At 38.0% G+C, this 25586-nt stretch overlaps 1 protein-coding gene across 1 annotated transcript in view; it reads right to left on the bottom strand.

Moving 5' to 3' along the window:
• The window catches only part of KIAA1217, an 853117-nt gene that overhangs the window by 634038 nt on the left and 193493 nt on the right, over positions 1 to 25586 (bottom strand). The window lies entirely within an intron of this gene.

Raw genomic sequence — 25586 nt, 5'->3', positions numbered from 1 at the left:
CCACCTTCCCAGTGTGTAAAAAACAGAATGAGAAAAGGGAGAGAACAAGTCATATTTTTATTAGTCTATGTGGAGAATCTGGCTGATGTTTTTTCTCTCTTAGGGTACATGCCAATCGAGAGGGACAGTGCTATTTTAGAACCAGACATTTCTCCAGCAGCCTGCCTGGTGCCCCAACAACCCAGGATATTCTGTAGCCTTTGGGCACCCCTCACTTACCCCTCCATTCTAGCCCCGGTCCTCTAATTCAATCATTCTTATTATACACTTCTCACTCCCCCTTGCTTTCATCTCCAAAAAATCCACAGACCCCCATGCACGTTAATAAGGCAAGTTGTGGGGTGCAGAGGTAAGACAAAAAAGGAGAGCATCTTTTACTTTTTTTTTTTTGGAACAGAAAAGCACTTAGTAAAAAACAAAAACAGAAACAAAAAAACAACACGGTAAACTATGATAGCCTTTGTCGCCTTTATTGCCAATATAAACTCATGTACTTCATCGGCTGTCTGTGCTCTGGGATTGATTCAGTATGACAACTTCTTTATCACTGACCCAGAGAATCCCCAGAACTGCCTGTGCCCTGCAGTCTGGGAGGCTAATGCAGCCCCTGGGGGAATTCTGCTCAGTCAAAGCAAGGTCTCCATTAAGACTTTTGGCTGGCTGTCACACGTCACTGTAAACTCACAGGCTGTCTTAGTAGAAGACAAGTTACCCGCAGGGTGACCTTTGTTCTTAAGGTTAAATGAAGGAAATAACATGGTTTTCCTCCTGCTAGAGATGCTGTGTTGGGTGCTACATAGACAACTCAGAAGAGAAACTGACAGGCTGAGAAAAACGTCAGTGACAGACTAGCCAAAGCAAGCCTAGACTGTGGCACTGCTTTTACAAAGGACAGTGAAGTGAAGCTAAGACAGTCAGCATTGTGGTCCCCTCCTGCAGCCAGTGTCTAAATGATTGCTCTCCGTTTCCTCCCACTCTTACTCTGGTTCTCAAATTCTTTTCACAGGAATGTGTGTTTCATTCTTTCAATCTCATTGAAAGGCAAATGATTATTTTATTTCACACTGTCTTAAAATTTTACCTTTGAAACACACACATAGAAACACAACACCATAGAATACTATGCAGCCATAAAAAGAATGAAATCATGTCTTTTGCAGCAATGTGGATGGAGCTTGAGGCCATTATTTTAAGTGAATTAACTGAGAAACAGAAAATCAAATACTGTGTGTTCTTACTTGTAAGTGGGAGCTAAACAATGGGTACACATGGACACAAAGTAATAACAGACACTGGGGACTCAAAAAGGGGAAAAAGTAGGAGAGGGGTGAGGGTTGAAAAAGTACCTCTTGGGTACAATGTTCGCTATTTAGATGATGGGTACACCAAAAGCCCAGACTTACCACTACGCAATTATATAACAAACATGCACGTATAACCCCAAACCAAAAAAAAAAAGTTCTAAAAAAATAAACAAATGGAGCCACAACATTTACCTTTGAGCCTCCCAACTGTTATTTTTGCTGCTTCCAGACTTTTAATGGACTATATTAAATGCTCATTTAAATCTGAGTAGACAACAGCTCTAGAAGGCTAAGAATTGGAGGCCTAATCCACTGGAAACCTTTGCCTCAATGTCAGTTTAGGTCAATGTTTTACTTCCCTCAGGGGCAATTGCACTTAAAGTTCTCCTCAAAACTGGGGAGCCAGGAGACTTTATTTCTGTTATTGGATAACAGCATCCAGGAACCACTAAATGGAAGAGGAGGAAGAGAAGGGGTGCATGTCAACGAGCTACACCTCCTAGTAAGCTAAGTGGCTGCCTCCTACGCTGATGCCACAGGCCTGTAGTGGAGGGTATGATTTGTACTCATCCTGCCTATTGTTCATCATTATCTGAAATAATCAGTGCTATCACAACTCAACTCATACCAGCACAGAGCCATGGGGTTCTTGACAAGGAACTCTCATCTCACCTGCCTACTGATTGCAAAGCACCGCTCCATACAGAAGGAAGAGTTGAAGGCATCACATGTCCTCGGCCATCTTAATGGAATAATAATAAATTACATGCCTAGACATTCAACCTTGAAAAAAGGCAAGGCCAGCTGCATCAAATGCTTTGCTAAACCACTGGGTGATGCCAGTCCAGTTTTGCCAAATACATATATAATAAATACATTTTCCTTCTTCAAACTTTATTTAGGTATTTTTCATTTGGGAATTGGGTAAGGAAAGAGAATGGCTTGGCAGAGAAACAAAAATGCTATCAACACACAAATGCATGTGTGCACACACACACATACATAAAAAACATGTCCTTCGTATAGCATCTATTCTCATATGTGATGGTAAAGTGAGAAGGGGAAATTGCTTGCATTTCAAAGACAGAAGGCTTGAAGCTGTCAATGATGAAAACATTTCTAATTCAAAGCCCCTACGGGGTATATGTGGAGAAGTGAGGTTGTTTTGGGTGGTATCCTAGTATCTCAAAGGGATAAAGGGCCTGGAGGCAGACAGTAAATAAGGCCAGTCCTAGTGCCTTGTAGACAGTGCCAAGGCTTTGCAAATAAATATCTCTGAATTTGGGGCCCAGTGACTTGAATCCTGGCTTTGGACTTAGCAGAGACATGGTCTGGGGCCAGTTACTTCTTCTAACTTTAATATTTTAGCCTTTAAAATTGGGATAGTGATACCTGCATCCTAGAATATTTATACAGATTAAATGAAATAATACATGCTAGAACTTGACTCGCCATCTGGCACATTGTAGACATTAAGTGTTGGTGGCATCCAAATTGAGTTAGAGATGGGGGATAGGCAGTCATCCTTAATCCCTGCAATTCCAGGGTATGGCCATTGCTGACTCTACTCCTGAATGGGTGCAGATCAGTAGATCCTTGGAGGAGCCTTGAAGCCCATCATTTTCAAACCCACCAAGTGGATCCATCTGATTTGAGCATTTTGCTGCTAAGAGTGGACCCTGGGGTTTGATTTCCCTCTTGGCCAGCTTGTTTATGTGTTACGGGGCCAGACATCCCCATCAGAAATCAGCCCTCAGGTCTGCGGCTGTTCATAACAGTCGAATGGATGAACCAGCTTACACCTAACGTCCTACTAAAAGAAAACAGCTGCAGGCTGTCTCCATCTTCCTTGACATTCATCACAACTTGAGTTTCCTCACCCAGGATTTAATTTTCTGGCTCAGAGTATTTTATTTCTTTTCACTTAACTGAGAGTCCTGTTCTTAAGGGAAGTCTCTCCTAGGTTAGGGAGAATCACTTGCCTTTGCCTGACAAACAGTGGCAGCTGCAGCCAGGGATGCAGCTGGACCCGTTGTACACAATCTAGTCAGAGCCATGCAGAGGTTTCCTTGGGAGTCCTCCTGTCCTTCTCTTCCTATTGAGAAATTCCCACTTTTTCTGCTTCTTCAGAAGGCCATTTTACTTGAGATTTTGAAATCGCTTATCTACTTTTTCCCTTAGCTTTCTTTTCTTTTCTTTTTTTTTTATACTTTAAGTTCTGGGGTACACGTGCAGAATGTGCAAGTTTTTTTACATAGGTATACACGTGCCACGGTAGTTTGTTGCACCCATCAACCCATCATCTACATCAGGTATTTCTCCTAATGCTATCCTTCCCCAGCCCCCACGCCCCTGACAGGCCCCCGTGTGTGATGTTCCCCTCCCTGTGTCCACGTGTTCTCATTGTTCAACTCCCACTTATGAGTGAGAACACGCGGTGTTTGGTTTTCTGTCAATGGTCATTAGAGAAACGCAAATCAAAACCACAATGAGATACCATCTCATGCCAGTTAGAATGGCGATCATTCAAAAGTCAGGAAACGACAGATGCTGGAGAGGATGCAGAGAAATAGGAATGCTTTTACGCTGTTGGTGGCAGTGTAAATTAGTTCAACCATTCTGGAAGATAAGGTGTGGGGATTCCTCAAGGATCTGGAACTAGCAATACCATTTGGCCCAGCAATCCCATTACTGGGTATATACCCAAAGGATTATAAATCATCCTACTATAAGGACACATGCACACATATGTTTATTGCGGCACTGTTCACAATAGCAAAGACTTGGAACCAGCCCAAATGCTCATCAATGATAGACTGGATAAAGAAAATGTGGCACATATACACCATGGAATACTATGCAGCCATAAAAAAAGATGAGTTCATATCCTTTGCAGGGACATGGATGAAGCTGGAAACCATCATTCCCTTAGCTTTCTTTTCTATACGACTTTCATTTTTCTTTTTTTTATAATTTCAACTTTTGTTTTAGATTCGGAAGGTATGCATTTAGGTTTATTACATGAGTATATTGCATGATGCTGAGGCTTGGAATATGAGTAATTTCGTCACCAAGATAGTCAGCATAGCACCCAACAGTTAGTTTTTCTTTTTTTAATTTATTTTTATTATTTTTTAATTTTTTTTATTTCCAATGGTTATTGGGGAACAGGTGGTGTTTGGTTACATTAGTAAGTTATTTAGTGGTGTTTTGTGAGATTCTGGTGTACCCATTACCTGAGCAGTATACACTGCACCCAATTTGTAGTCTTTTATCCCTCATCCCCTTCCCACCATTTCCCCCTGAGTCTGCAAAGTCCATTGTGTCATTCTTATGCCTTTGAATCCTCATAGCTTTGCTCCCACTTACAAGTGAGAACGTATGATGTTTTGGTTACCATTCCTGAGTTACTTTGCTTAGAATAATAGTATCCAGTCTCAGCCAGGTTGCTGTGAATGCCATTAATTTATTCCTTTTTATGGCTGAGTAGTATTCCTCTTTCTATATATATGTTTCTTTATCCACTCGTTGATTGATGGGCATTTGGGTTGTTTCCACATTTTTGCAATTGTGCATCTTCTTTGTATAATGTCTTCTTTTCCTCAAGGTATACACCCAGTAACGGGATTGCTGGATCAAATGGTAGTTCTACTCCACTTTTAGTTCTTTAAGGAATCTCCACACTGTTTTCCATAGTGGTTTTACCAACAGTGTAGAAGTGTTCCCTGTTCACCGCATGCATGCCAACATCTATTATTTTTTGATTTTTTGATTAGGCCATTCTTGCAGGAGTAAGGTGGTACTGCATTGTGCATAGGGAGATATTGAAAATGTTGACACTGAAGAGACTAGACATCACTCAGGGGAGATGTCCTGCTGGACTGTGAGTTCAGCTGAGACCTCAGGGCTGGGTTGGAGAACTATTAGAAAAGAAGCCATGACTCAAAGGCAGTCACCCAGAGAGGGTACCAAGAGAAAGTAAACAGTTGAGGGTTGTATCTGGGCATGCGAACACCTAAGGGGTGAGCCGAGGAACAAGAGTCAGTGAAGAAGCAGAGAAAGAGCAGTCCAAGAGGTGGGAAGAACATGAGGAGACAGTGATGCCATTGCCCACTGGGGATTGAGAGCACCAGTTCTGAAGGGGAAAGTATTAGCCTGGAAACTGGAGGACGCATAGCTAAGAGGATGAAATCCAAATTATGGAAAAGATTTGAAAAAAAACAATACATCCATAGACTCTTCCATCCAAATTCCTTAGCATCAGATACCCCTACATGACCCAGTCCTGACCACCTTCCCTTCACTCTACTTGTGTCATTGCCATTGCCTCAGCTCTAGCTGCACGGGCTCTTGTAATTACACTTGCCTCCCTGCCATCTGCCTTCACCTTGCCTCTTTCCTCTGCCTGGAATTCTCTCTCCTCAGGTCTTCTTACGGTCATTTGCTCACATTGCAAATGCAAACTCTTTAGAGATTCATTATCTGATTACCCAATATGGCTTCACTACCAAGCCCCCATCTCAAGCAAAGAAGAATTTTCTTCTTCACATCTTTTTTTTTTTGCTGTGTTTCCCCTTTACTCTTGAATGTTAACTCCATGAGAAGAGAGTTTTTTCTTGTTCATTGTTTTTTCCCCATAGGGGAAGCCTAGAAGAGGAGCAGGCACATAGTCAGCCCTTCTGAGAGTCAATTTTATGTAAACTTGACTGGATTAAGTGATGCCCAGGTAGCTGGTAAAACATTTCTGAATGTGTCCGTGAGGGTGTTTCAGAAGACATTGACGTTTGAGTCGGTAGGCTGAGCAAAGATCACCCTCACCAATGTGGGCATCGTCCAACCCGTGGAGGGCCCAAATAGAACAGAAAGGCTGAGAAAGAGCACATCGCTCTCTCTCTGTGTCAGCTGGGACATCCATCTTCTCCTGCCCTGGGACATCAGCACTCCAGGAACTTGGGCTATCGGACCCAGACCAGGACCATTGTCTCTTCTGGTTCTCAGACCTTCTGACTCAGACTGAATTATACCACTGGCTTTCCTGGTTCTCCAGCATGCAGATGGCAGATCATAGGACTTCTCCACCTCCATAATTGTATGAACCACATCCCATGCTAAATCTCTCTCTCTTGCTGTTTCTCTCCCTGTCTTCCCCTCTTCTCTCTCTCTCCATCTCTCTCTCTCTCATACACACACACACACACACACACACACAAATCATATTGGTTCTCTTTCTCTGCAGAACCCTGACTAATACAGCCCTCAAAAAAAATGTTGAAGAAAAGAAGGAAAGAGGTAAAGACAAAAGAAAGGAGGGTGAAAAGATGCAGCCTATTTGTTGAATAACTCAAGCAAAGCAGCAGTCCAATAAAGGTCTTTAGGCCAGTTGCTTTAATACACATGGGAGAATGGTGTGCAGTTTTCATGTCAATTATTTATATATAGAAATCCATAAATGACTGTACGCTGCCTCAGACAGCTTCACATACACTGGCACCCTCAAGCCCTCAGTGTATAAATATTTCAGTCACTGAGAAAGGTAGTTTTGCTTCTTATAAATATTCCCTCTATAATAAAATTTAGCCCATTGAATTCCAAGCATTCTCAAAAAAGGTATGTATAGAATGTAAGGGAACCCAGTCATGGTGGCACTGGTCTGTATGATCATCAATTACAAAGAAATTTAGCCAGGATGAGGGATTTTACATCAGCCCGACAGGAAGACTTTTCTTCTCCATTATGTGCACATACCTATGAGAGCTCCAGCAGTAATAACTGCAGTTTTGCTTGTCTTGCCCTACAAACTGCTCTCACACACTCAGGCTCCTTACCCCACACCAATCATAAAACCAAATGCATGTTGGGGATTTAGTCTTGGAGACATTCAACTTTCTTAAGTAGTTTATCCAGAACTATTTTCCTAGACACAGTTCTATAAGAAATTGCAAACTGGGGATTTTGTGAAATATTTTTGGTAACTAAACTACTTTGCACAAACAGAAATAAAAATTTATCATAATTTTAGTTTTACACACATAACAATAAAAAACCCTGACCATCTACAAAATAAAATTTCTTTCTCTACTTCTCATTTGTTTTTTAAGTACATTCCATTTCACATTTGGATATTCCAAGAAAGTAGTGAGTAATGAAGAGATTAGGAACATGAGATTATGAGAAAAGCCTTGAGTATGTGTTTGGGGTGTGTACGTGTTTGTGTGTATGTGTATTTTTGTGTGTGTGTGTGTGTGTGCTTCCTATGGTTTGAATGTTCATGTCCCTTCTGAAATTTATGTTGCAACTTAATCCCCAATGCAACAATATTAAGTGATGCAACTCTTAATCACCTTTAAAAGGTGATTAGCCCATAAGGCTCTGCCCTCATGGATATGATTAATCTTTTATTAAGGGGCTGGAGAGAATTAGCTGGGCCCTTTTGCTTTTCCATCCTCCAACATGTGAGGAACCAGCAACAAGATGGCCATTGTGGAATCAGAGACAGGGGCCCTCACCAGTCACTCAACCTACCAGCACCTTGATCTTGGACTTCCAAGCCTCCAGAACTGTGAGAAAATACATTTCTGTTCTTTATAAATTACCTTGTCTCAGGCTATTTCTCAGGTATTTTCTTATAACAGCACAAATGGACTAAGACAGTGCTTGTGTGCACACACTTCCCTACCAAAGTCATCTCAGTCTTGGACTTTTGGGGGAATGGTTAACATTTGTTTTTCAATGGTTTAAAGTCATTGGGGATGGTGGTAATGATACTACTGTTTAGTGAATGATATAGTCCTCAACTCCTCTCTTTTTCCATTAAAGAATGGGCTCTTTCTAGCTATGGGTGCAAACTATAATCCATCTCCCTACCTTTTATTTGCTCTCAGAAGCCTGTGGCAGAGCATCCTGTGGGGCATCTTTCAGAGGCAATGTAGCGCAACTGAAGGAGTTTCCCTGAGGATTGTGTAGCCCTGGGTCCTCCCTCCCCACCTCCTTTAGCTTTATGACCTTGGGCGAATGACTGAACCTTTTTGAAGACCTGCTGTCATCATCTGTAAAGCATAAACCATACATTGGGCATCTGAAGGAAGTCCAGCTGATGATTGATCTCCTTCATCTCCAGGCTCCTCGGCTGTGGGTGTGGGGCAGGACATGCCACCGGGTACACAAAGGGCTGATTTGTGAGTGGGGAGACTTGCAGAGACAAGCTCCCTAGACTCACTGCTCATACCCTCTCAAGAGATAGTGCATGTGATCCAGGGTCCTGGGCAGATCTTCCCCACTGCACCCAAGAACTCTCTCTGCAGAAAGAAAAAAAAAAAAGCAGCCCCTTCTGTGACTTTAGTTTCAGATGACAGGCTACATACTGATACATTAGGTATAACTACACACACGGCCATATGGTAAGTGATTACTCTGCTAAAAAAAAAAAAAAAAAAAAAAAGGAAAAGAGAAAAGAAGAATCCCAATTCAATGGGACCTCTGCTTCTAAAAACAAACACACTCTCAGCAATCGACTCCATCATGATGGTGGGTAGAAAAAAAAAAAAGAAGATTTAGAATTAGAGGACTGGTGTCCAAGTGGTACATTTCTTACCAACTGGGTGACTGTGGGCAAGTTTTTTAAACTGAGTCTTTTTTCATCTGTAAAACAAGAATAAAAGATTTTTGACCCTCATAGAGCTCTTTGAAAGATTAAATGGTCAATAAGATAATGTAGATGTGGTGTCATTGCTGCTGCTCACCAATATTTTATTTTCTCATTTCCTTCTGGGCCACAAGATTGTACCTATGCCCTCCATGAAGTCAGATGTAGCCACGTGACTTGCTTGGGCCAATGAAATTTGAGCAGAAGGGGCTTGTGTCACTTCCAGGTGGAAGTACTCAAGAACCAATGCATGGTTTTCCTGCTCTCTTTCCCCTGCTGCCATGACTCTGATAGCTCACCTTGATGTGGAAGTGTTTGAAGCAAAAGAGGCTCCAACTGATGTTCTAAAATTTGCAGCTGGCCTTGCATGAATACAATATAACTTTTGTTGTGTCAAACCAAAAATATTTTGGAGTTTTTTGTAAGTATAGTAAAACATAGCCTATCCCGACAAATATATGTTAGCAAAGCTTTGTCAAATATAACATGTTCTGTAAGTGTTAATTATTGCTATGCGGGTATCTGTTAAAATCATGTTACATATGCATAAGAGAAGACTACAGCTAAAGCAGCTCAGTCTTGTCATTTCATTGCCATCATCAATGTGTACAGAGCATTCACTGTGTTTCTGATATTATTTCAGGCAATGCATATGCAATACTTTCTTTCTGATGTGAAAACATCTTAAATACCAATTGCCTTTACAGCTGGCATGCCCTTTGAAGACATAATAATGGTTCATCATCAAACTGCAGACTTATACAAAAAAAAGTCATTCAGTTTGTAGAACTCCTCTAGGTTACTGTTTGCCAGGGATAGAGAAGAGCTGTGCAAAAATATTTCAGAATATCCAGAAACATTCTACTTCAAGAGCTACATGGTAATCAATTAGTATATGCTAGCACAGAAATTCCAAACTTTGAGAAAATTCGTTTGCCAGCTCTTGATAATCTGAAGATATATGGCTGACATTGTATGAAATCATTTCTTTTTCATTTAATATAAGGGAAGCTATCCCAGTTCCCAAGTGCCAGGGCTAGAAAGTGATGAGGTGTAGGAAATACTACCCCAAAATATGGTGTCATGGAAACTGAGGAAGCTGAAGAAGCAAGAAAATCACTCTGTCTCCTACCTTGCTGTGTGAGAGACAACCATAAAAACTCTCTGACCTACTTCCCCTGAAAGTAGGTCATAAGATCCTCCTGTGACAGGTGCCCTGTCCTATACCTGTAGGAAAGGAATGAGGATACAGATACACTCAGGAAAATCTGAACAAACAGGCCTTGCTAAGCTCCCTCAGTTTATGACCATTAGATCTTACCCCTTTTTGTCCAATCTTCCTTCTCCATGACTGTCCACTCTTCATCAAATCTAGGCATAACACTACAGTTTTTCCTATTTCTTTGGGTCTTCATTTCTGAAGGCTCCTGTGTAATGTAAGACTTTGGTTAAATAGGTATGATGGGCTTTTCTGTTGTTAATTTGTCTTTGTTATAGAGGTTTCAGCCATAAACCTTGAGATAGTGAGAAAAATTTTACTCTTTCTCCCTTACAAAAGACTTTTTAGAAGCTTTAAAAATATCTATTATAGAATCACCAATATTTGATAGAAACTACTAAGTTCACCATGGGTAAGTTTTAAAGAAATACCAAAAATGGAATAGATTTTATTTTATAAATTAACATAAACCTAAAGGGATGGAGGAGGGATTTCCTTATCTTCATTCCCATTTCCAGTATTTGTGCGGGCTAATGACAATAGTCACTTTATAGTAAGAAACTTGGGGACCTAACTTTCCTACACACATGGATTCATTAAAAACAGTGCAAAGGAGCTAAAAGGTGTTCACTGAAATTGGCTCCCATTTCCAACGCTACACCCTGCTTAGGATCCTGCCTGTCATTAAGAATCCCCCTTCCCTCTCCTCAAGACTCTCTTTCTGGCATGACTTTAGTTTTTGCCTCAGCTGTTCTGCTAACATTCACCTTCCAATAACCTCCCATGTATGGGCCACGTGGACCTTAAGATGAACTGCACTCACAGATCCTTTTGTCAAATCAATGGGGCAGTTCAGCCACCATATTGACTCCAGCTCTGCTGCACGTTTCTTTTCTCCTTGCTTAACTTAATTGCACATCAACACCCCATCACATGTCATTCCCAGAAAAATTAAATTGGATGAACACTTGTGCAACATTACTGGACTGACTAGTATAAGCTCTTTTAATGTACAGACAGCCTTGCCTGCCATCTGATGCTGTGACTAAAGTACTGCTATGAATTGGTTCTGGAGCTCAGCATGGCATCTACTCCCTCCTTATGCATAAATTCACCACATGCAAAGAATGCATCCTAAACAAGAAGCTTTGCCTGAGCCCCCAGGAAGGTGAGATACTTTGAATGCTGTTTCCAGGAGTGGGGATGAATTTGTGGCCCATCCAATCAGACTTCTTGCTCCATGTCCCTGAGATTAGAGGTTTGCATTGCTACTTAGCTGAGGTTTAGTGTGCTGTTCCCCTCGATGTGCCCACGTGTTCTTATCACGTAGCTCCCACTTATAAGTGAGAATGTGTGGTATTTGGTTTTCTGTTCCTGCCTTAGTTTGCTAAGGATAATGGCCACCAGCACCATCCATTTTCCTGCAAAGGACATAATCTTGTTCCTTTTTATGACTGCATAGTATTCCACGGGAAAAATACAACTCTTTTAATGATCATATGTCAGAGGGATATAGACCAGCACCCAGAGAAATGAGATAAGAACTGCTAGACTCATCAGCATGGGAACCAAATACTGCATGCTCCCTCCAAGCTTGTTGTAAAGGCTCTGTATTATTTGCCTGAAGTTCTATTTTCATGCTCAATTTTGTAATCTGGATACATATCCAAGTATGTTAGGTTTTAAATATTTCTTTTCTTTCTTTCTTCCTTTTTTTTTTTTTTTTTGAGATAGAGTCTCACTCTGTCACCTAAGCTGGAGTGTAGTGGTGGTACAATCTCGACTCACTCCAATCTCCACCTCCCAGGTTCAAACGATTCTCCTGGTTAAGGCTCCTGAGTAGCTGGGACTACAGGCATGCACCACCACACCACACTAATTTTCTTTTGTATTTTTAGTAGAGGCAGGTTTCACCATTTTGGCCCACTGGTCTCAAACCCTTTACCTCAAGTGATCCACCCGCCTCAGTCTCCCACAGTGCTGGAACTACAAGAATGAGCCGCCATGCCTAGCCAAATATTTCAGTTCTTAGCTGATTAATGATATGGTACAATTAGAAAAACAAGATTCCATAATACATTCAATCCTAAGTCACCAATTAAATTTTGGAGTTGGATGTTTGATTTCCAACATAAGTTAGTTTTGCCATATTTTACACATTTTCTTATGGTTGTGTTCTTGGCCACAGGCATTTTTTCTTGCTTTGTATCAGTATATTTTATTTTCTGAGGAACAATGTCTAAGATTTGTCAAACTTGAAGCCAGTTAAAGTATAAGACTGTATTACTATGGAATTTTTTAAAGTTTTCAATATCAACAATTAACACAAAAATGGTTAAGACATAGATGCTGACATTGAACTTCCTTGGTCAAATCCTGGCTTCCTTCTTTACTAACAGGGAGATCTTGAGCAAGTTACCTAACCTCTGTTAACCTAAATTTCCCCAGCTAAATAATAATTATAATTACTTTATAGGTTGGTAGCAAATATTCACTTAAGGAAACTAATCCATTTAAAGTTTTTATGTCTGACATGAAGTAAGCATTCAGAAGTGTTAGTGCTTATTATTGTGGTTAAATAAAAACATTAGAACAAGATGGGTCAAAATCAAGTGAACAAATGTTTATTAAATAAAAATAATTATTAACAGCCATAATAATTTTGATAATTTGAGCACCTACTATATGCTCTTTTACAAACATTATTTTACCTAATCTCCACTGAAGCTTTAGGATATGTGTTATTATTAATTCATTTTGCAGGTGAGTAATGGATGGATAGAAAAGCTTTATAGCTTACCCTAGTCCATGACAACTGGACATGATACAGTTGGAATTTAAATCAAGTCTTTCTTTAACTGGAGTCTATTTCTCGCCCTCCACTAAACTGCCTTCCTACCTCCTATATACAAAGTCCTTTGATGGTACCTTAGAGGTAACCCAGATGAATACAACACTTCTCCTATCTTCAGGGAGCTTCCACTTCCAAGGGTAATAGACCACAGTTTTACAAGACAGAGTAATATAAGTCCTATAATATGAGTGCATATTGTATATGAAAACTATGAATAATATACTTTTTGTGAAAGGAAGTTCTTTTATAAATATCCAATGATCATCTATATAAATATTGAATGTTTTGTGATACAGGAACAATTTTTATTGTTTGAGACTGTCTCATATATCATATCTCTGGTTCTTGGCTGATAAATGCCAGGAAATCCCTCACAAATATCCAAAACATTCCCTGGAAGCAGCAACGTCCCCATTGGGAACCATTGTAGCTGCGGATTGTAAAATCAACTTAGTTGGTAGTAATCAGAAAGAAAGGAAGGGGCTGGGTGTGGTGGCTCGTGCTTGTAATCTCAGCACTTTGAGAGGCTGAGGTGGGCGGGTCACCTTAGGTCAGGAGGTCAAGACCAGCCTGGCCAACATTGCAAAACCTCATCTCTACTAAAAATACAAAAATTAACCAGGAGTGGTGGTGGGGGCCTGCAATCCCAGCTACTCAGGAGGCTGAGGCAGGAAAATCACTTGAACTCATGAGGGGAGGTTGCAGTAAGCCAAGATCACACCACTGCACTCCAGTCTGGGCAACAGAGTGAGACTCCTTTGTCTCAAAGAAAAAAAAAGGAAAAAAGAAAGGGAAGGAGGGAGAGAGGAAGGAAGAGACAGAGGGAGAGAGAAAGAGAGAGAGGAAGGGAGGGAAGAAGGAAAGAAAAGAAAGAGGGAAAGAAAGAAGTAAAACAAAGAAGACTGGACTAAATCAAAGTAAAAATATCAAACTGTATTTTACCTAGTAGGTGTAAGAATTGTTTTATGAGACTTTATCGTGTGTGGCATTTGTTTTACACACACAAACACACACATACACATTCCCATATGTCTCTCAGTCAAAAACATTAGACTGTGGTCCTCTGAGCTTTCTAGTGCTCTGGCTATGGACCGCATGATACCTTTCATTCAAAGATTCTGTGCAGCATCAGGAGATAAGTTGTTGACCACAAGATTTGAGGGCAGTGCTCATTTTATATATTTAAACTGCTCCAATGGGGAAAAGAGCTGACAGAGTTACGGTCAATTAAAAAGTTGCAGTTACAGAGTTAAGGTCTGGATATAGAATACTTTCTCTCTCTCTTTCCCTCGACTTATATTTCTTCTCTTCTAATCCAGAAACAGATTTGAAGATTCAAGTCAGATGCACAAAAAGATGCTCCAACTTCATTAGCAATCAGAAAAATGCAAATTAAAACCACAATGAGATACTATTTCACACCCACCAGATTGGCAGGCATTAAAAATTCTGACAATATCAAGTACTGACAATGATGTGAGACAACAAGAACTCTCATGCAGGAATATAGATCAGTATAAACACGTTGGACATCAATTTGGCATCATCCAGTAAAGTTAGCATGTGCCCTATTGTTCAGCAGTTTTCTAGGTTTATGCTTTAGAAAAACTCTTGCACAGGTGCACACAATATGAATACGATGACATGAACAAGACTACTCCATGGGCATTGATTATAGAGGAAACAAACCAATCAGCCAACCCAGGAAACAGCTCTAAGTCCAGACAAAACAGAATGGATAAATAAGTTATGAAATAGTGGTATGATAGAGTAACAGCAGTGGAAAGTAGTCAACAACAGCTATACACATCAACACAGTTTAGCCCATGGGTATAATGCTGACTTCATAATTCAACATTTTGCCTTTAAAAGGAAGGAAATTCTGACATGATATAACATAGATGAATCTAGAGAATATTATGCTAAATGAAATAAGCTAGGGACAAAAAGACAAATACTGTATGATTCCACTTTAAATGTATATAGAGTAGTCAAATTCATTGAGACAGAAAGTAGAATGACAGTTGTGAGGAGTTGGGGTGGAGGGGAAAATTGGGACTTGTTTAAGTTTCAGTTTTGTACAGTAAAAAAGTTGTGGAGATTGGTTGCACAACAATATGAATATATTTAACAATATGGAACTGTACACTTAAAAATGGTCAAGATGGTAAATTTTATGTGCATTTTGATGCAATAAAACACTTAAAAAATTTTAAGAAGAAAGTTGCAGAAGAATACACAAAGTATAATGACATTTTTTAAAAGTCTCAAACATCTTCAAACTTATGTAATTTTTAGAGATATAATTATTTATGGTGAAGTTATAATAAAAGTAAGGTGATTTTGTGAAATGGAAAATGGTACATGAGGTCTTCAATGTTGATAGTTGTGTTCTAACCTTTCAATTGGGTGTTAGTATAGTTTGATGGTTGTACATGTATAAATATATATTATATATATGTGTGTGTGTGTGTGTGTGTGTATATATATAGTCTTATAAATATAGAAACTTTTTTAAAGCCAGAATTTTGTGGTCTGAATATCAGAATTGAGATCAATATGATGGAGTATACAGAACTGAGTTCCAGGTTAGAAAGTCACTCCGTTCACAATAAAGTACCCGGTATCCTGGTTAGAATCAGAATTTATGTGCAGCTTGTTCAGTAAAATATGAGTAGCCACTGTTTTCTTAGACTCCCTTAGCAACAGCTAAGCACCAGCACCAGGGAAAACAGCCATATCACAGATGCTCTGGCACTTTCTCTCCTAACACTCACTATTAGCCTCAACCAAAATAGAAGTCTACTTGTAAGAAAAGGGAAATTGAGGATTCAGGAGAGAGCGTTTTTAAAAAAAAATTTAAAAATTGTTTACTATCAAATAAAATGTAATGCCATATCAGATTATTTTAAGAAATTATTTTTTGTAACATACTATAGACATTTAAATCCTTTTTTATATTTAGGAAGATTTACATTTTATATAAAACCTTTTTTATATTTAATCCTTTTTTATATTTTGGTTCCATATGAAACAGTGAAGAAAACAGGAAAAATAAATGGTTCCACTGATATCATTCAGTGTTCAATGAAGGTTGAAGAGAAGGTAAGGGCTCCTAGCCACCAGTTGGTTTTACACTCCTCGGTTCCGTGTAGCTCCCAGGGGCCTATATAAGAGCACATTCAATACAGAAAGGATTGTGATTCACCCCAGGTACCCTGGCTCCATAGCAGGTCAAATTCGTGGATGTTGGTAGCTCCCAGTCTCAGCCCTGGCCACCATCAGGGAAATTCATCAGCTGAAGCTCAAAGTCCATTGTTTCTCTGATACCAGTGAACACCAACAAAGCCAGAGAATAGTTCAGACCAAAGCCAAGAGCAGAGAGACAGGGCAAAGGACATGCAAAGGGAAAAGTCAAACCAAGAGGTGGCATTGAGACAATTCCAATGATGCCAGACAACTTGGGTTGCTGCGGCAGATGAAGCTACAAATAGATTTTATTTTGATATATAAATAAAATGAGAATGAAGGAAGTTGATGAGGACCCCAAGATCACATGCCCAACTTGGTGAGCTGACAAGGGCATTTCCAATCTGTGGAATCTGTGAATAGACAGCAGTATTGCTTACATCAGAATTTTACTTCTACCAATGAAGTGCTTAAAATATATCTTGATAAACAAGTTTAACTATATGAACGCTTGCAGAGCTTCATATATTTGCCTTCCAAAAATTTATCACTTGCTTCCAAAAAGTGTTATTAACAAAATGTAGGAATGTCTCTTTATAGTATTGGATTTACCACAAGTGTTTTCATTAAAGTAGAGAAGCCAGCCAATATCTCAAAGAAGCAAAATCCTTAAGTGTCCACTTAGAGTTTCTAACCTCTAGAACTTGTGAACCACCACCCACCCTTAATCAAAGGTTCATTTTAAGAAGTCTATTTTCACTTGCCTCAACTTTGTAAAAAAGAAGCCAGCTCTTAACAAACTTCAAAAATTTAAAAATATAACTGATAATGGAAAACATCTCAAGTTTAAAGACGTTTTTGCAAAGAAAGCAAGTGTCATCCAAGTTTGGCTGCTCAAGACTTCTTAAGAGATTAACCCAACCTTTAGGATGCCTCCTTCAAAATAACTGGCTGCAGTGGTGAAACATGAGGTTTTTGTTTTTTAAATGATTATTCGGTCTATATCATCATACATTACCCAACTGTATGGTAAGCCAAAGATAATAAGAGGTCAAAATCAAATCAGATACGACCTGCCAAAGAGTGAAATAGCACTGCACTGTGGTGATCACCAGAAAGATCTCTATCAGTCACCTGAAGCTAAGACATTATAATCAGGTGATGACTTCATAGGGGTGAACAGAGGGTGGAAGAAGGAAAAGATTACAAATAAAGCAAGAACTCTCGACAGCGTGTGATGCGTGAATGCCAATAGAAGTGTGACAAATTCATGCAGAAGTGCTTTTTACTTGCTGAAACAAAACCTAAAGATGCATTCAATATAAATTTAATTCTGTGGATGATTAAAAACTCATAAAAATAACAAAAGATAAATTAAAAAATAGAGTAAGAAAATATGGAGCCATTTGCCTTTGATTATTCTTCTACTTTTTTAAAAAATTTTATTCTATTATTATTATACTTTAAGTTTTAGGGTACATGGGCACAATGTGCAGGTTAGTTACATATGTATACATGTGCCATGCTGGTGTGCTGCACCCACTAACTCGTCATTTAGCATTAGGTATATCTCCTAAAGCTATCCCTCCCCCCTCCCCCCACCCCACAACAGTCCCCAGTGTGTGATGCTCCCCTTCCTGTGTCCATGTGTTCTCATTGTTCAATTCCCACCTACGAGTGAGAATATGCGGTGTTTGGTTTTTTGTTCTTGCGATAGTTTACTGAGAATGATGATTTCCAATTTCATCCATGTCCCTACAAAGGACATGAACTCATCATTTTTTATGACTGCATAGTATTCCATGGTGTATATGTGCCACATTTTCTTAATCCAGTCTATCATTGTTGGACATTTGGGTTGGTTCCAAGTCTTTGCTATTGTGAACAGTGCCGCAATAAACATACGTGTGCATGTGTCTTTATAGCAGCATAATTTACAGTCCTTTGGGTATATACCCAGTAATAGGATGGCTGGGTCAAATGGTATTTCTAGTTCTAGATCTCTGAGGAATCACCACACTGACTTCCACAATGGCTGAACTAGTTTACAGTCCACCAACAGTGTAAAAGTGTTCCTATTTCTCCACATCCTCTCCAGTACCTGTTGTTTCCTGACTTTTTAATGATTGCCATTCTAACTGGTGTGAGATGGTATCTCATTGTGGTTTTGATTTGCATTTCTGTGATGGCCAGTGATGGTGAGCATTTTTTCATGTGTTTTTTTAGCTGCATAAATGTCTTCTTTTGAGAACTGTCTGTTCATGTCCTTCGCTCACTTGTTGATGGGGTTGTTTGTTTTTTTCTTGTAAATTTGTTTGAGTTCATTGTAGATTCTGGATATAAGCCCTTTGTCAGATGAATAGTTTGTGAAAATTTTCTCCCATTTTGTGGGTTGCCTGTTCACTCTGATGGTAGTTTCTTTTGCTGTACAGAAGCTCTTTAGTTTAATGAGATCCCATTTGTCAATTTTGTCTTTTGTTGCCATTGCTTTTGGTGTTTTAGACATGAAGTCCTTGCCCATGCCTATGTCCTGAATGGTAATGCCTAGGTTTTCTTCTAGGGTTTTTATGGTTTTAGGTCCAACGTTTAAGTCTTTAATCAATCTTGAATTAATTTTTGTATCAGGTGTAAGGAAGGGATCCAGTTTCAGCTTTCTACATATGGCTAGCCAGTTTTCCCAGCACCATTTATTAAATAGGAAATCCTTTCCCCATTGCTTGTTTTTCTCAGGTTTGTCAAAGATCAGATAGTTGTAGATATGTGGTGTTATTTCTGAGGGCTCTGTTCTGTTCCATTGATCTATATCTCTGTTTTGGTACCAGTACCATGCTGTTTTGGTTACTGTAGCCTTGTAGTATAGTTTGAAGTCAGGTAGCGTGATGCCTCCAGCTTTGTTCTTTTGGCTTCGGATTGACTTGGCGATGCGGGCTCTTTTTTGGTTCCATATGAACTTTAAAGTAGATTTTTCCAATTCTGTGAAGAAAGTCATTGGTAGCTTGATGGGGATGGCATTGAATCTATCCATTACCTTGGGCAGCATGGCCATTTTCACAATATTGATTCTTCCTACCCATGAGCATGGAATGTTCTTCCATTTGTTTGTATCCTCTTTTATTTCCTTGAGCAGTGGTTTGTAGTTCTCCTTGAAGAGGTCCTTCACATCCCTTGTAAGTTGGATTCCTAGGTATTTTATTCTCTTTGAAGCAATTGTGAATGGGAGTTCACTCATGATTTGGCTCTCTGTTTGTCTGTTGCTGGTGTGTAAGAATGCTTGTGATTTTTGTACATTGATTTTGTATCCTGAGACTTTGCTGAAGTTGCTTATCAGCTGAAGGAGATTTTGGGCTGAGACAATGGGGTTTTCTAGATATACAATCATGTCATCTGCAAACAGGGACAATTTGACTTCCTCTTTTCCTAATTGAATACCCTTTATTTCCTTCTCCTGCCTAATTGCCCTGGCCAGAACTTCCAACACTATGTTGAATAGGAGTGGTGAGAGAGGGCATCCCTGTCTTGTGCCAGTTTTCAAAGGGAATGCTTCCAGCTTTTGCCCATTCAGTATGATATTGGCTGTGGGTTTGTCATAGATAGTTCTTATTATTTTGAGATACATCCCATCAATACCTAATTTATTGAGAGTTTTTAGCATGAAGGGTTGTTGAATTTTGTCAAAGGCCTTTTCTGCATCTATTGAGATAATCATGTGGTTTTTGCCTTTGGTTCTGTTTATATGCTGGATTACATTTATTGATTTGCGTATATTGAACCAGCCTTGCATCCCAGGGATGAAGCCCACTTGATCATGATGGATAAGCTTTTTGATGTGCTGCTGGATTTGGTTTGCCAGTATTTTATTGAGGATTTTTGCATCAATGTTCATCAAGGATATTGGTCTAAAATTCTCTTTTTTGGTTGCGTCTCTGCCTGTCTTTTCAAAGCAGTGTGTAGAGGGAAATTTATAGCACTCAATGCCCACAAGAGAAAGCAGGGAAGATCCAAAATTGACACCCTCACATCACAATTAAAAGAACTAGAAAAGCAAGAGCAAACACATCCAAAAGCTAGCAGAAGGCAAGAAATAACTAAAATCAGAGCAGAACTGAAGGAAATAGAGACACAAAAAACCCTTCAAAAAATTAAAGAATCCAGGAGCTGGTTTTTTGAAAGCATCAACAAAATTGATAGACCACTAGCAAGACTAATAAAGAAGAAAAGAGAGAAGAATCAAATAGATGCAATAAAAAATGATAAAGGGGATATCACCATCGATCCCACAGAAATACAAACTACCAGCAGAGAATACTACAAACACCTCTATGCAAATAAACTAGAAAATCTGGAAGAAATGGATAAATTCCTCGACACATACACCCTCCCAAGACTAAACCAGGAAGAGGTTGAATCTCTGAATGGACCAATAACAGGCTCTGAAATTGTGACAATAATCAATAGCTTACCAACCAAATAGAGTCCAGGACCAGATGGATTCACAGCCGAATTCTACCAGAGGTACAAGGAGGAACTGGTACCATTCCTTCTGAAACTATTCCAATCAATAGAAAAAGAGAGAATCCTCCCTAACTCATTTTATGAGGCCAGCATCATCCTGATACCAAAGCCGGGCAGAGACACAACCAAAAAAGAGAATCTTCTGCTTTTCAAAGAGACGTCAATGCCACGTTGTTTTCCGCACCATAAGGCAGCCAGGAAGAATGGGGACCCCATTTCCTTTACAACCAGGTCGTGGTTTGTTGATGATGGCATTACTTATTTTAAGCTGTGGGTTTATTTTTGTTCCAGTTCTATCAAAATTCTTAACTGAAGTATCTTTCCTTTTGTTTATAGTGTAGAACAAATTACCCTCTCAAATTTGTGAATCTTGAATAAAATTAAAAAATAAGCTATCATTATTAAAAGACATTTAACATAATAAATGAGCTACACTGTGCAAATTTTCCATGAGATTTCTCCTCCCTGGAGGAAATGACAGCTGATACTTAATGCATGCCATTAATAACTTTTAATTCAAAGGCTGATTTCTATGACTTAAGAGGCCAGAGTTTGCCAGCAGACTCCTAGTCCTGAGGCAAGCAGACATTGAACATATTATGAGAGATGACTCACTGGCCAAACCAAATGTACCACAAATCTCAACAAGGCTTCCAGAGAATGCCATCAGGGAAAAGAAACAGCCTTCCAGTTTACTGTACTGATAATTTTATTTCCCTAAGTTTAAAGAAACCAGATGAAAGGAAAATCTCACAAAAGGTATTTGTTTAAAATGTTACCTATATTCTCATAAAAGGAATCTCTTTACATATTATTATCTGACATATAATATTTAAAAGGGAATTTTCAAATTGAACAGATATTAAAACATTTAATAATGATTTTCCCTTCTTTTAATTTTGATTAATGGTTTGTTGAAATGTAAGACATTTACTTTCCAAACATTCAATAAGAAAGGCATAAAAATACCTATTGTAACATATGAAATATATAGTGTGTGTTATTTTTATTTTTATCACCATTCATATTTATCTGTAAATATATATGTACATGAATATTAGTTATAAATTTTAGAGAAAAACTGACATGTACTTAGATAAAACTTTGAAAACACTTTATACTAATAACCTTCAGAGATTTATAAGTTGAAAAAATATGAGTAGTTGATACTTAATGTACCCAGTGGACTTACAAACACCACAAATTATTTATCTTCATGAAGTACAGAAGCATATATTTCACGTTGGCTATTTCTGTGGTTTTTCATTTTTAAAACCAAACAGAAATTCAGAGAGAAATAAATTTTTAAACTAAGAAGTACAAAAAATAAATAGTTCTGAAACCAGAACACTAAAAACATAATGAATCAGAGAAAATTAACACTAGGTTGTTAGGGAGAAAAAAATCAATAATTTCTAAGCAGTGGACAACAAAAAGTACAACGCTGTAATTGAGAGTAGAGAGACTCATGAGGCGAAGCCCATGATTACCTTAGAATTCTGCCTGGGGACAATTTCCCAAATGCAGCACAAGCAAAACACAGCAGTTCTGCTGATCTGAGGAGGCAAAGATCAGGGTATGAGGTTGCTGAAGCTACTGAAACCTGAATGGCTGGGTCCTGAGGGCAAGAGAGCTGCCAGAGTGTCGGGAAAATGGGTTCAAAGGTTTAAACGTGTGTGGTCCACAAGTCCACTGCTCAGGGTTGATCTTATACCACTGAATTCCAGCCTGGGCAACCAGGTGAGATCCTGTCTCTCAACAAAGAAAATAAGAAGACAGTAAAGAAACATTAAAAGAATAAAGGGAAAAAAATAGCAAGATGTATCTTAAACACAATAACATCAATTGGTACATTAAGTGTAAACAGACTGAACACTTAAAAGGCAGAGATTATCAAACTGCATTTAAAAGTAAGATCCAGTTATGTAATGTACTGTATAAACTAGAAAGATACATTTTAATTTAATCTGCAAATGTACTGAAAGTACAAGTGTTGGGAAGCTTTTCATGTGAACAGTCCGGATAAGAAAGATGATGAGGCTATTAAAATACCAAAATGGTCTTCAAGGCAAAAGATATTAGTTGAGTTAAAGAAAGACACTGTATAATGGTAAAAAGGAAATTTATCAGAAAGACATAGCAATTCTAAATGCATATGCACTAATAACAAAACTCCAAAATTTATAAGCTAAAACCGACAAAATTAAATAAAAAACAGATATCAAATTTGGAGTTTTTTATTATTGCTCTGTTAGTAGTTAGCAGATCAAGTAGGCAAAAAATCAGTAAGGATACAGAAGATCTGAAAAAGACTATTCACCAACTTAACCTAATTGACATTTACAGAATACTTTATTCAATAACCTCATAATACATATTTGTTTCAATGGCACATCAACTGCTCATCAATATAGGCTGTATGCCAAAGTGTATAATGCATTCAAAAAATTTCAAAAGCTTGAAAACTGACAGAGTATGTGAGCTTATCATAGTAAAGTTAAATTAGAAATCGATAACACTAAGATATCTTTAAAAATCCCAAATGTTTCAAAATTTACCAATACACTTTTAAATAATTCATGGATTAAAAAAGGAGTCAAAGATGAATGAGAAAGCCTTTCAAAATAAATAATTTTACATATCTATTTTGAAATGTAATTATTTTATTACATATCAAAATATGCAAAAGGCAGATAAAGCATTGCTCAGAAGAAAATTTATAACTTTAAATGACAAAATTAAAGAAAGAGAAAGATTAAAAATCTGTTATCAAGTGTCTATTTTAAGAATTTAGAAAAGGAAGATTGAACTAATCCCAGAGTGAACAGAAATAAGAAAATAACAAAGATCAGAGATAAATGAAAATAGAGAATTAACAAATAAGAAATTTATTTTTTAAAAAGATTGTTAAAAACAATAATCTCCTACTAAGACTAATTACGGAAATAGAAAAGAATTTGAACCTATAGTCAAAAATCTTCCCACTAAGAAAACTAAAGTTTTCCAGATGATTCCACTGGTGAATTTTACCAAATGCTTAAGAAAAAATTAATATCAATCTTATATAAAATCTTAGAGGAATTAGAGGATAAAATGCTCCTACACTAATTTTCTGAGGCCAGGGTTAACCTACAACCTGCTAAAGATATGACATTGTCTTCTGTTTACAGAGAACAAGATTATCTGTTAAGAAAATCCTAAGAAATATACTAAAATTAATAAAAATGAATAGAATTTAGCAATGTTGAATAATGCAAAAAAATCAATGCACAAAAATTAATTGTATTTCTGAACAAAACAAGGATGGAAAAATCCTTTCAACTCTATCGTAGGTCATTGATTCCTAGGAGAAAAAACAATACAAAATGAAAACACTAGCCATAAAAGAAAACTCAATAAACTTAAAAGCATTTTCTTGCTCTTCAAATACTACTTTGGGAAAATACAATGCAAACCATTAGTCTTTTCTGAATTGAATCATTTAAGGATACAAATATTTCTCTAAGCAAGCAGGGATAAGATATTTGCAAAACAAATAACTGACAAAGAGCTCACATCTAGAATGGTTAAAGAACTCTTACAAATCTGTAATATAAAGACAATCTGATAAATGGGGAAAAGATGAGAACGGATATTAGACACAAGAAGTTATGTAAATGGATAATAGCCTATCAAAGGTGCTCAGCATCATGACTGATCAGGAAATCCAAGTTAAAACCACAATGAGGTGCCAATATGCATTAAAATGCCCATAACAAAAATAAATGACAATCCCAACCACGGATGAAGAGCTACTGAAACTCTCATACATTTCAGGTAGGAGCGTAAAATGGTCCCATCACGTTAGAAAACAATTTGGCAATTTTTTGGTAAAGTTATACACGCTATGAGCCAAAAGTATTCATCTAAGAGCAATGAAAACATCTATGAACACCAAAATGTATGCTGAAAATGCAGAGTAGCTTTAATTACAATAGCTTCAAACTGCAAACTACCCAGATGTTCATAAAACTATGCTATATTCTTAAAATTGAATACTATTTAGCAATGAAAAGGAACAGATGATTGATACTTGCCACAAATGGATGGCTCTCAAAAACATAATGCAGAGCAAAGGAAGACAGACACACCAATATGTCTTGAATGATTCCAATTGTATAATGCTCTAAAAGAGGGAAAACTAATCACTAGTGCTAAATGTCAGATCGGTTGGTTGCTAGGGGTGGGAAGAGGTAGCAATTAGCTGACAGTTTGCAAGAGAGGACTTTCTGGATGAAGGAAATGTTCTATGTCTTGATTTGGGTGTTGGAATTTTACATTTTAAATGGGTACATTTACTTTATGCAAATTATACATAAAAAAGTTCATTAAAATTTTTCTAAGAACAGACTAATTTACAATTAGCAGAATTGCCTTGGTGCCAAAAGTGCAAAACCTACTTTTACACAAAAGTCACTTAAAACCATTTATTCTACTTTAAAAAATACTAAGCAGTCTCCTCAATCTCATCTGTCCCTTTGCACATTACCTGGGTTTTCTATAACCAAATCCTAAGAAAAAGGTTGATAGGATGTTAAATGTGAAACAACACACAAAATATTGACCCTAAATTTCAAAATCCAGATAGTTGATTTCAGATGCATTATAGATGTGTATATCTATTCAGGAGTAGTCTATCTCACTCACTTCTCCCTAGAAAGAGACAAAAATAGAGTGAGGTTGATTAAACGGAGAGAAGGAAAAAGCAATTTGAACCAATGTCTATCCTGATTTCAGTCTTGATATCCTTTTTGATTGTTACTGAATGAGGTCAAATTGGTGTTATGCTCAAGTTCTTAAATCTAGTCCCAAGGTTTAATGTCAGAC

Source organism: Homo sapiens, chromosome 10, assembly GCF_000001405.40.
Source record: "Homo sapiens chromosome 10, GRCh38.p14 Primary Assembly".
NCBI lineage: Eukaryota > Metazoa > Chordata > Mammalia > Primates > Hominidae > Homo > Homo sapiens.
This window is presented reverse-complemented; position numbering and strand designations above follow the sequence as displayed.